The 12,846-nt window shown below is 51.1% G+C and overlaps 1 protein-coding gene across 25 annotated transcripts in view, besides 1 other annotated feature; it reads left to right on the forward strand.

Annotated features, from left to right (window-relative positions):
* The window catches only part of CAMTA1 (calmodulin binding transcription activator 1), a 984,253-nt gene that overhangs the window by 358,623 nt on the left and 612,784 nt on the right, over positions 1–12,846 (forward strand). The window lies entirely within an intron of this gene.
* Positions 5,529–6,136: an enhancer, noted in NCBI's record as "H3K4me1 hESC enhancer chr1:7209665-7210272 (GRCh37/hg19 assembly coordinates)". NCBI's record gives its function as "activates a minimal SCP1, AML or CMV promoter by ChIP-STARR-seq in naive H9 embryonic stem cells {active_cell/tissue: H9 hESC(naive)}" and the evidence as "EXISTENCE:reporter gene assay evidence [ECO:0000049][PMID:30033119]".

Here is a 12,846-nt window from a genome sequence, read left to right on the forward strand (position 1 = left end):
CACAGACTGGGTGGCTTAAACAACAGACATTTATTTTCTTATGTTCTGGAGGCTGGAAGTCTGAGATCAGGGTGCCAGCATGGCCAGGTTCTGGTGAGGGCTCTCTTTCTGGCTTGTGGACGACTGCCTTCTTGCTATGTCCTCAGATGGCCTTTTCTAAGTGTGTGTGTGTGTGTATGTGTGTGTTTGTGTGTATGAGTGTGTGTTTGTGTGTATGAGTGTGTGAGAGACAGCAAGAGACAGAGCGAAAGAGAGAGTCTCTTTTCGTTCTAAGGCCACCAATTCTATTGGATACAGACCCTATCTGACCTCATTTAACCTTAATTACATCTCCAAATCCCTATCTCCACACAGTCACACTGAGGCCACTGAGGGTAAGGGCCTGAACATATGAATTTTGGGGGACACAATTCAACCCCTCATGCTATCAGGACCGATATATATAACACTAGGCAGGATTAGAAGATTTGCCTTGTCGGTGTAGTTTGTGGCTTCAGTGTTGTGAGGACTTACTCTCATTTTCAGAACTCGTTACGAGACTTGTTTATACAGATATTAGGACTTGCAATTGTCAGGTCACACCACTCAGAATAATTACTAAAAACTGTGTCAAATGTATTTGCTTCCTTCTACCAGTCCTGTCTGGTAATCTCTATAAGCATCCCAAACTAGTATTGATTGACGTCATTTTGGCTAATGGGTCTTCTCCAAAGAGTACTTTATTGTTTAAAGTAGAGCCATTGAGAATGTTCCCTATAATTTGAACAACCCTAAGAATTCAACTTTAAGCTGGTCATTTGTCCTCCACAACTACCTGGTGAGGCAGCACTTGCTTTTTCTTCCCATGTTACAAATGCAGACAGGAAGGCCGAGTAACCTCTCAAGCTCTGCAGCGGTTGGGAGGCTGAGCTGGCCTTGACCTGGATTCGCTTTCTTCTAGAATTGGGTCCCTTTCGGTGCCTCACTCTGCTCTGGGGGAAGTAAGGGAGTGAGGTTCAATGACGTGGCCAAGATCTTTCAGGGGACGAGGGGCAGACTGAGTCCTCTATCCAGGGCCCTTCTCAAAGCCATCATGGATCTCTTGGAAGTATTAACCCCAAGGGGTGGAGATGCCGCCTCTGAGCTCCTGTCACCTTCCCAGGCCCGGGAGGGAGAGCATCTTTCCGCACCGCTCCTCTGCGGCTTATGTGGGATTCCACGTGCCTCTTTATCTTGCATTAAATAATGGTTTTAGTGGGCTGCCAGCTTATTCATCTATTGTATTTATGGAAACTACTAAAGACTTCAAAAAAGGGTTTAATTCAATGTGAGGTTCTATCTTTGAAGAAATTTGTTTAATAGTGCAGGGAAAATTGGGCTTTTAATACAGGAGGAGCAGAACCTGCTCTGTAACTTCAGAGAGAAAATGGAAATCGAGACGGGAAGTACCAGAGAAGCCACTGGGCTTGGAAGGAGGGTGACTTGGGAATGAGCTGGAGCTGGGCCCAAGTAAAGCCCTTCCTAGCCTTCCCTCGTCTCTGTCTGTGTAGGGAAGGCAAAGACACAGGAAAATGACAGCTTAGTGTCCGGAACCCTGGGGTCACTGCAGGAGCTGGACTCCAGTCTGATTGCATAGAGCTGTAGTAACCCATGAGTCTGTGAGCACAGAGGGGCCGGGACGATTGCAGTCATCCGTGTCTCCCGAAAGCACAGTGCCTGTGGCTTCTAGGCTGCAAGCATGAAGCCTCCCATTGCAGAGGGGAAGAGGCTGCCCTTCAGCGAAATGTGGAGTGGGCTGAGGGGATCTTGGGTACGGGGTTTTAAAAAACGTAATCCTGGGTTCAAATCCCTGTGCTGCCCTCTATGACCTGTGACCTGGGTCAGTTTCTTTATGTCCCTGAGCTTTGGCCTTCTTGTCTATGTAGCAGAGATAATCTCAACCGTCTAGGTGGTGGCATGCATGAATGATAGCTTCTATTTACTGAACACTTACTACGTGCGTGGCACTATGCCCAGTGCTTTAATTGGATCTTTTTTTTAAAATGGGATGATTGTAAAGGCCGGGCCGAGGATCTCCCCTGGGGATGGGCAGTCATGGTGCTTCCCCGCCCTGGGCAGCTGCTTATTCCAGAAATTGCCGTGGGCCTGCAATCCTGCTTGCAACACCCCTCGCAGCAGGAGCTTGGCAGCCCCTGAACCCGGTGCCTGCTCATGAGCCAGTCTCCCTCTTGGCTTATGTAGATCAACCAGAGCCTTGGGATATGAGAAGTTAATTTCCACATATCCTGGAGGGGGAAGAAGCACGTATGAAAGAAGTGAAGAGATAAGAATGTGTAGGAAGGTTATCTTTCAATTAAGAAGGGCAGTAATGCTTCCCATCAAGAGTCCTGTCGGGGAAAGTCTGGGAATATCTGTTTCGGTGCTTTGCTGAGAACCAGTTAGGTGAATTCTGTGCTGGTGGACACTGCCGCCCAGCAGGACACTCATCACCATGGCCTTCCTTGACCCCGGCCACGTCCTGCCGGCTCCTCCTCCTTGAACACCAACCATCAGGTTGCCAGGACCTGTCCCCTGGGGCTGGGTCCTCACTGCTTCCCTGGGACCGGCTGTGTAGGGGTTGATGTGGGCAGTCAGAGGGGGTAGGGAGAGAAGGGTTTGGCGTATTGCACACACACAAACACACACTCAAACATAAACCATGCACACACACACACTTGAGCATCATGCACACATATATACCACACAAATATACACCATGTGCACACACACCACACACACATATACCATGCACACACAAACACAAAGACACAACATGTACACAGACACTCAAACATATGCCGTGCATACACATACACATCACACACTCAAATATACACCATGTTCACACACATCACACATTCAAACATATGCCGTGCACACACACAGAAAGTTACAGCACGCACACACGCACTCAAACATGCACCATGCACACACACTCATACACTTTGCACACACACTCAAATGTATATCACACACATGCACACAAAAACACACTCATGTACAGCATGCACACACACAAACACACACTCAAATATATACCACACAGCCAGGCATGATGGCTCACGCCTGTAATTCCAGCACTTTGGGAGGCCGAGGTGGGCAGATCACAAGGTCAAGAGATTGAGACCATCCTGGCTAACATGGTGAAACCCCGTCTCTACTAAAAATACAAAAACAAAATTAGCTGGGTGTGGTGGTGAGCACCTATAGTCCCAGCTACTTGGGAGGCTGAGGCAGGAGAATGGCGTGAACCCGGGAGGTGGAGCTTGCAGTGAGCCGAGATCGTGCCACTGCACTCCAGCCTGGGTAACAGAGCGAGACTCCGTCTCAAAAAAAAAAAAAAAACACCCCAAATATACATCATGCACACACATTCATATACCATGCACACACAAACACACTCAAATATACACCATGCATGCACACTCACACACTCAAACATACACTATGCACACGCAAACACAAACATACATCACACACACGCACTGAAATATGCACCATGCACACACACACTCATACATCACACACACACTCAAACATACACCACAAATACACATACTCAAATATGCACCATGCACACACACATTCATACACCATGCACACACACAAACTCAAACATATACCATGCACACACACACTCATACACCATGCACACACACAAACTCATATACCATGCACACACACAAACTCAAACATATACCATGCACACACACATTCATACACCATGCACACACACAAACTCATATACCATGCACACACACACTCATACACCATGCACACACACAAACTCAAACATATACCATGCACACACACACTCATACACCATGCACACACACAAACTCATATACCATGCACACACACACTCATACACCATGCACACATGCATGCATAGAAATATGCACCATGTACACACTCAAACATACATCACACATACACCACACACTCATACACCATGCACGTATGCACACAAACACACACTCATACACCATGCACACACTCAAACATACACCACACACACGCACACACACTAAAAATACACAATGCATACACACACGACACAAATGTACACCATGCACACATGCACACACATGCTCACATATGCACCATGTAGACACACACTCATACATCATGCACACACACACCACACACTCACACATACACCATGCACACACACAAACATACACCAAGCACATGCATACACATACTACACAGTGAAATGTATGCCCCCCACACACACACCACACACTCAAACATACACTACCCACACACATACACACCACACACTCAAATATGCACCATGGACATACCCCAAACACACGAATCCACCCCCTCCCCCCCCGCCACGCTCCCCGCCATGCTCCTTCTTCTCCCTGTGCTGGGCTTTTGGAAAGAGCCAGGGGTCTGCTTTTGTTCTGAATCCCCATCCTGCTGACTTGCCACCGGGGTGTCTTTACCTATGGGGGGAGTGGGTCCAGTCCCCACGTTGCCACCTTCTGAGTGAGCACCAAGGCCCTCCCATTGCAGTTGGATGTGGCCAGCCGGCCCATTCAGTCCAAGTGCCCAGGAGCCCAGTGTGCCCTTCCTTTGGCTCTAGCTCCTCCCTCCCCCATCAGGGGACCACTGGGGCACTAAGTGTGGTGGCAGAGGGCACCATGTGGGCTGTGACCACCTCTCTCCAGCAGACTGGGGGGTGCCTGCAGAGCACTGACTGCCAGTGGGCAACATTACTCTCTGGCCTGCCTCACCATTGGGCTGTCTGTTCACTTGCTTCTCCCAGCTCAGTTGTGGTCTCTGAGGTAGGTCAGAGCCTGGGCTGGCTTATCACCAGGTCCTGGGCACCTGCTCAGGATGGAGCACAGAGAAGGCCTTGCTGGCAGCTGTCAGGGGTGCGTGTGTCCAGTGGAGTGGGGCTTCCTGCCCTGTGGGCACATTCCCGAGGTACGGGGGCCTGGTGTTTCCACAATCATCCACTCCCTTCCAGCTGCCCAGGGATTGGGGTGTCGGGGCGTAGGGGCTTCTCTGGGGGTGGGTACAAGTCCCTACTTGCCATTCCCCAGCTAAACTGCCACTGAGTGGAGAGGGCGGCTTTCCCCGCAGGGAATTGGGAGTCCCAGATGTCTCCCTTCTGCGCTTGGGAGGGGTGCTCCTCCCTGAAGGACAGGGTTTTTGCTTCTGAGCACATGGGCCTTTTGCTTCTGAGCAGGAGAAAGACTTTCTGGCAGGGCACCGTGGTTCACGGAAGGTTCTGACCCTGCAGGTGGGCTTCGGCGAGACTCTCACGCAAGGGACTTTGCTCATTTTCTGCCCCTCTGCTGCCATCAAATGTAGCAGAAAAAAATGTGTGTCCCTCTCCAGCCCCTTGCTGTAGGAATGCCAGCTTCGGCTCAGGCTGGTAGTCTGGTTTCGTAACGGCCGTGTGGCCGCGGGTCAGGTGCTTCACCTTTGGGCCTGGGATAATCATGCCACCTCCTGGGGCTGCTGGGGGATCCAGTGAGCTGATTTCCATGAAGGCGGAATGTTGGCGATGCGAGTTTTTAGCTAGTCCCCGACACACACTGAGAACAGGAAACGAGCCACTGGGTGCTCAGCTCTCCAAGCACGGCCGTCCCTGAGTGCTGGGGGATGGGCAGGTCCAGCCATGTTCCCGGAATAACTCCGGCCTGGGCGGCGGCCAGCAGGTCAGAGCTGGGCCAGAGGTGCCGACGGTGCCCAGGGTAAGGGGATGCCGGGAAGACGTTGAAGACAAATGTGTGCCTGTGGGGAGCAGCATGTTTATGGCAAATAAAACTCCTGATAACGATTCACGAATCCTGGCAGCCCTGCCTTCCTTGCCGTACCTGGGGGCTTGTACTGCCAGGGGAGGCTTCGTCTCATTTCCTTCACTGCTGGGGAAGGACTGCCCAGGACTCAAACAGGAAAACTGAGCCTCGGAGACGTTCAACTCCAACAGGGAGCAGCAGCCGCTGCTGTTCGGTCGCCCAGCGGCCTCCCTGGAGGAGAGTCCCTCAGTGATGCCTCTTCAAAGGCTCTGCGTGCTGCCCACTGTCCGTAAGGAGTGAGGCAGGTGTGGTCAGAGTGCCTGGACCCGCATCGCCCTTTGCCTCCCCAGCTGCAATCTCACTTGCTCACTTGGGGGGCTTTGGCTGAGCTTTGCAGGTTGGCCTGGACCGGCAGGTGGGCACAGGCCCATTGCACCTGACTGGGTGTGATTAAGGAAACAGGAATGGAAATGCTTCTCCAACTGGAGGAAGTCAGAAAGCCACAGGGCATCCTCAGACGAAACCCCTGCTTCCTCCATCAGAGCGGGGGCAAGCAGATGGGGAGGGGAGATGCTTTTCCTCAGAGACACCAATGCCTCTACACCCAGGCCTCTCCATGCAGGTGTTATGGACATTCCAGGCTGGATAATTCTTCGTTGTTAGGGCCATCCTGGGCATGGAAGCATGTTGAACAGCATCCCTGGTTTCCACCCACTAGATGCCAATAGCACCCCCGACAACCAAGTGTGTCTCCAGGCTTTGCCCAGTTCCCTTGAAGGGCAGAATCACCCCTCACCGAGAACCACTGCTCCACCCAATGCAAAGATGTAACTCTCGGCATGTTTAGGACCAAGTATTGGGATGTGCAGAAGGACGCGCAGGACGTGGAACCCTGTGTGCTTGGGTCGTGGCCGTGCCTTCCGGATGCTTCGAGGGAAATGACCTGGCTCCTGGTCAGACATAAAAGTGGGAAGTGTATTTTCCCTCTGATGTTGTCACTACTGGCTGGTGCCGCAGACGGACTCAGAAAGCACCGTTTCATTTTGCTCGAGTAAAGAAGGCAGGCGCAGAGTGCTGCTCATATATTGATTGACTCATCAAATGATCTGCTGCAGCTGCCTGCATTTGTTTACAGGGCGAAAATTAATGCCACAGATGTTTACTGTATAATAGGATTTGAAATCTGTTGGGGGGAGCACCCGTTGAAACCATTGGGCCAAGAATGAGAAAAACACTTTGCATAAAGGAGGATTTGGTTCACTAAGTAGCACACGGTGCTTGCTGTCAAATGCTAACAAGAAACATGGGCCTCCTCTCCCTTGGCCAGCGCTGGCGTTCGCGCCTGGCTCCCTGGCTTTCTTCTACACTGTGCTTTGATGTGGCACCTTCCAAAGTGTTTTCATGATGGAGAGGGCTTCCTCTGAAATGTAGCACCCGAGCCTAATTAACTGATGCGTGATTCTTCATTAGCATCTGGGCAGGCCTGGGGCCCCCAGTTCCCTTTCCTTCCTCGGCCCCTCTTTGCAGCGGGCAACCCTGGATTGCCCAGCGAGGCTGCCTGGCCCTTGGGTGTCTGTGTCTGGGGTTCCCCTGGTGACCCCACCAGCTCCTGTTGTGTCCCTGCCTTCCACTGCCTGGAGCCAGGTCTCTGAATGAATATAGCCATCCTCCGAGACGGGAGCTGCTTTTTCTTGGCACAGCATCTAAGCCCTGCAACCCTGAGTGTCTTGACGGCACAGCCAATTCCTCGCTATGCCCAAGGGCTTTTCCCAGGCATCAGGGCAGACAGGGACCCCCAGTGCTTCTTAGAGCCTCCTCCAGAGGAAATGGCTTTGGGGTGTGTCTCCCAGTCGAGGACGGAGGACATGGCAGGCTGCTGGTGCTCCTGGTGACCATTGGGAGGCCCTGGAGGGAGCCTCCTTCCCAGGAAGTTTCCTTCCAGTGGGTTCGAGTGTGCATACTCCGTTTGTATTTTCACTTTCCTTATGTTTTTCTCTTCAGCCAGCTCTGATTGGATTCACCACAGATTAACATTTTCCATTATACGTTATAATGTGTTTTTTTAAAACCAAATCTCCCTTCACAGATTGCTGTCTTTATAATATAGGAATTATTTCTCAGTCACTTTAAAAGTCCTGCTTCATTAGCTTGGTGACTGTTTGGTAATTTGCAAAGTCACTTTCGCAAGTTTTAATACTGCCCGGTTGAGGATCACAGCAATAAATGTATTAGGTTTGAATAGTGTTATGATTCTGTCTGAAGTGAAAAAATTAGAATCAGTCATTAGCTCTGACCTCAGCATCAGCCCACACCGTGCAGGAGATGATGCAGATAGATGATGCGATCACAGCCTCCGCCATGGGAAGAATCCTGGGTAAGGCCTTGGAGCCCTTTGTCTCAGCTCTTTGCCAAGACTCGAAGCAGTAGCTCCTACATCTCCAGTACCTTCCACGTTTCTGTTCTCCTTAGAGTGGCTTAAAGCTCCCCCTTCCATATAAGTCTCTCATGTCTAGACTCAGCCCTCCAGGGAAGGCAAATGGAGACTTTGAAGCCCCCAACCTTGGGCTCCCCCTCCAGCTTTTTTGACAGATGATGGTACCTGCTGAGAGAATGTGACCAGAGGCTTTCATTGGGATTTTGGGGGCCATTCTGTTTTCTTCCTCCTCCTGTGTTGAGGCCATCTCTGAGCCATGCTGAGAAAACAGGGAGGTTGCCAAGGGCAGAGATGTCCAGCCCCTGCTCTGAGGCTGTCAAGTGCCTCCTCAGGGAGAAGGGGAGGGTGCGCATTGCTCGATTTTGCTCAATTCCCAGCAGGCTTCTCCACCTCCCAGGAGGCGCCTCTGAGTCCCTCCCAGCCCGAGACTCTTTCCCCCTGGAAGAGAGGGTGGGCAGGCTCGGGGAGAACCCCAGAGCCTCATGTGGCCATGTCGTGTTTCATTTGCCCTGATTAATTTGGCATCTGTATGAACCAGAGGGAGTGGTGCTCGACCCTAACCTTTCACAGATGTTCCAGGCCGAGGTTTTCTGGCAAAATCGATTTTGACATTTTGATAAGAACCGTTTTGCTGTGTTCTGTATTTTGAATCTTTGACTCTAAGCTGTTCTGAAAACCAGCTGTGAAGCTAAATCTTGTTTGTAAAATCTGCATACTGCATCAGCAGCAGAAAACGCCAGAGCCTCGAGGTCATTTCATAGACACTTGAAGCAAGTTAGGTGGGATGCGAGGATATTGAATTGCGGTGGTTTGTCAGACTTCTGCCATGGGAAGCATTGTGAGAGATGCATAATGAATGTCTTGAACCCTCTTCTGTCTCTTGCAGTGTTTGGAATGCAAAAAAAATTAGACCTTTAATGGAAAGATTTGGTATTCATGAGAAAGACAGAGTCCCTACTACTTAGGAAACTTGGTTGCCTTGTAAAACAGAACATCTGTATCAGGAGCACGGTGATCTTTTGTCATTTGGTATAAGGAAAAAAATTAAACATTGGATTGGAAACATTTGAGGTCACTGTGTAAAAGGCACACACCTGCTGTCCAAACTGAAGTTCTCATTTGCAAGCGTTATTTGAGGGGGAAAAGGAGTGGTTTCCAAACTGCCTTAGCTTCCAAAGAAATGGCTTGCTTCCCTGCCTCCCTGCGTACCTGCACTCAGAAGGAGGCTCTGTTTCCTGCTTCACTGTCGGAGACCTCCTGAAGAAATAACACAAACCGACGGGGACAAGCAGAGTATGCAAGGAGAAAGGTCCAGAGCCCAGGCGGGAGGGAAAAGATGAGGCGAGTGACCGGCAACCTCCCACCTGCTCTTTCTCACAGCAGACAGCCAGTGGGAGGTGATCTGGTGGGCGGGGACATTGCAGCTGCCCTAGGGCTGCCTCTGACATGAGGGCCACTGCAAGTTCTTGACCCTCTTTGTCTTTCTTCCACCGTGGGTCCCTTGCATGACAGGGACGCATTCTAGGTCTTGGGAGCATTTCATGAATGACAGTGGACATGCTGTTAAAAGGCTGGATGTGGCCCCTGAGAAGGCTGCATGGTGACACCAAACAAAGACCAAAGGAACCAGGAGCCACTAGGCCTGGGCTCCGGCCACGATTCTGCTCCTGGCTTCCTCTGTGATGTGGGCACAGCCATCTCCCTTTGGGGCACTGGGTGTCCTGTGTGTACCTGGGGACAGTGGGATGGATGAGCAGGGCCCTGGAATTTCCGAGTGCCTGTGGCAAGCCATTGTTTTCTCTGGAGCATCACTGTACAGTTAGGGTGGGTTTGTGGCAGGTACTTAGAGAAGTCCTAGTAGGAGACAGCAGATCAAAATACAGGGAGATGCTGGGATCCACCCACTTTATAGTTAAGGGGTACCCTTTCTAGAGTCAGAAGATGAACAGATTGACCCTGGAGGTAACCCCCACCCGAGACTCCCGTCTGTAGGTGTTGAGGTTTGCATTTGATAGCAGGAAAAGGTGCTATTAAGATCCTGGAGTCATTGATAAATGAGGGGTGCATCAGTGAATGAGCCTGTCTTAGATTTCCTCTCTTTTTCCTTTGTGAGGTCGATGGGGTTTATCTTCAGCTCTCCAGGCCTCCTCCTCTGTCCCCTTTCCAACCCCGCCATCACTTCCCATCTCTGGGCACTTAGATCTTTCACTGCTGTCCACATCCCTTTCTGGCAGGAGAGGATCTGAGAAATTGACTCACACTAAGGCAATAATGAATTTATGTGTAATCTGTCCTGTGCGTGTGATACTTGCTCTAAAGAGGACTGGATGAAGAGAGTACGCTTGCCTGAAGGGAAGGGGTGCTGATGGTGGGGTTCCAGGCATGTGACACCCACCCGAGTTCCGGGATGCCCTCCTGTCCCCCACACCAGCCCGGAGGCTGGAAGCTCTTGGGAAAGGAGACTGGTCAAGGGCTTGTGGGCAGTCTCTTTGGGTTTATTGGACTCCAAATCTTTACTGTCCAGGAGTTAAAAGGTGATATTCTTCCTCTCAGCTCCTCAGGGAGTCCATGGTTTGGCTGTGGGGAGAGCAGGTCTGTTTCCCTGCAGAGCCCCTCCCCACTCCAGCCGGGCTTGTGGGTGCCAGCATGGAGCCTGCAGCCTCTGCGTGTGCACATCCTTCATTAAATATCTCTCCTGTCCTGTGGGCAGAACATCCCCTGACCAGTTTGCAGTCTGTCCACACTGGGCCCTTCTCCAGCCAGGATGAGTAAAAGGTACACGGCTGAACATCAGTGCCAGTGAGTGAGAGGCTACAGAGGCACGGAACAGGATGGTGGCAGAGAGGTCCCTGGGAAGCCTGTGCCGGGGCAGCAGGGGTGTGGGGGGCTGTGGGCCGGAGGAGGCAGCATCACTGTGGACAGGCAGGAAGGTGGCCTCGGGGGGAAGGGGACAGGGCAGAATGAGCCTTTCCCAAAAGTGAGACACTCAAAGCCTCGTCATGCCGGGCAGCGCCCATCCCTGCCTACCTGTCCCTTTTGCTGTCTCGGAGGGAGCCTGTGGGAGGGAGGTCGAGATCCCAGCCTCTGTGAGGGCACCGTTGGGGGGGGGATTGGGCAGGGAAAAGAGTGGCGCCCACAGAGCAGGACACGGAGAAGCCTTGAGCTGGAAATAAGGAGGCCAATATCTAGGCCTGACCTGTCATTAACGAGCCATGAGGCATGAGGTCTTTTTTTTTTTTTTTCCAAGAGATCCTCCCACCTCAGCCTCCTGAGTGGCTGGGACCACAGGTGGGTGCCACCATGCCTGGTTAATTTTTAATTTTTTTAGGGAAGAGGTCACACCATGTTGTTCAGGCTGGTCTTGAATTCTTGAGCTCAAGTGATCCTCCTACCTCAGCCTCCCAAAGTGCTGGGATTACTGGCGTGAGCCACTGCAGCCAGTGAGCCATGAGGTCTTGAGCAAGGCCGCCCCTCTGTTAGAAGTCCCCTTCTCTATGCCTCATGGTTCCACAGCCTGGGGTACCCCAGCTCCAAATGACACATCTCCCTGCGTTTGCTGTGCACGTGCCTGGGTGTGGGTGATGCTGATTTCTAATGCATTTCTTCATTCATTCAGTTCCACATTTATGGGGCATCTCTTCTAGAGCTAGCTCTGTGCCAAAAAGGAGGTATAAAGATAAATAGAGCAGGCGCGGTGGCTCACAGCTGTAATCTCAGCACTTTGGGATGCCGAGATGGGAGGATCACCTGAGGTCAGGAGTTTGAGACCAGCCTGGCCAACATGGAGACATGTTTAATAGAGACATGGCCAACATGTCTCTACAAAAAATACAAAAAAAAAATAGCCAGATGTGGTGGCACGTGTGATCCCAGGTACTTGGGAGGCTGAGGCAGGAGAATCGCTTGAACCTGGGAGACGGAGATTGCAGTGAGCTGAGATCGCCCCACTGCACTGCAGCCTGGGCAACAAGAATGAAAACTCCACCTCAAAAAAAAAAAAAAAAGATAAATAGGAGAGGGTCTCTATCTTCAAGGAACCCCCAGCCTAGTGGTGGAAGCAGATAGATACATGAATGGTGAAAGTTAAAGTAATGTAGGCAGGACAGTGAGAGAGACATGTGGGATCAGAGAGACAGGCGACCAGCTGGCCTCTGAGGGCCAGAGAGGGCTTCTCATCAGGGAGGTGATGTCTGAACTGAATTCCCTTCAAAATGAGCTCCCTCTGACCTGCACTGACTATTCACAGATATTCTAGGGCTCCTACCTTGTTTGCAAGAAGCTGAGCCACACGCCCTGGTGAATACAAAATAGGGTAAGGAATTTTTTGGCCAGTTGCCTGCAGCTTTGCTAATCCTGATTGAGCATTCTTCATACCAAGACCAAGACGATTTCAGAAGTATCTGTAGCATGTGTAACTTCTGTCCTTTTGACTGTTTTGGGGACGACATTTAATTTTATGGCAAGCAGATCATTCATTATTTCAGATGACCCGGATGGGCTCATACTTTGAACAGTTTAGACAGTCTTGTCTTCACTGCTAGCCCTATTCCTTTCTTGCTAAGTCCTCCACTACCACCGCCATACTCACCCTGGCTTGCTCCTCTTACTGTCACCAGTGGGTTATAGGCCAGCAGA

The sequence above is a fragment of the Homo sapiens genome, chromosome 1, assembly GCF_000001405.40.
Source record: "Homo sapiens chromosome 1, GRCh38.p14 Primary Assembly".
In the NCBI taxonomy this organism is placed as follows: domain Eukaryota; kingdom Metazoa; phylum Chordata; class Mammalia; order Primates; family Hominidae; genus Homo; species Homo sapiens.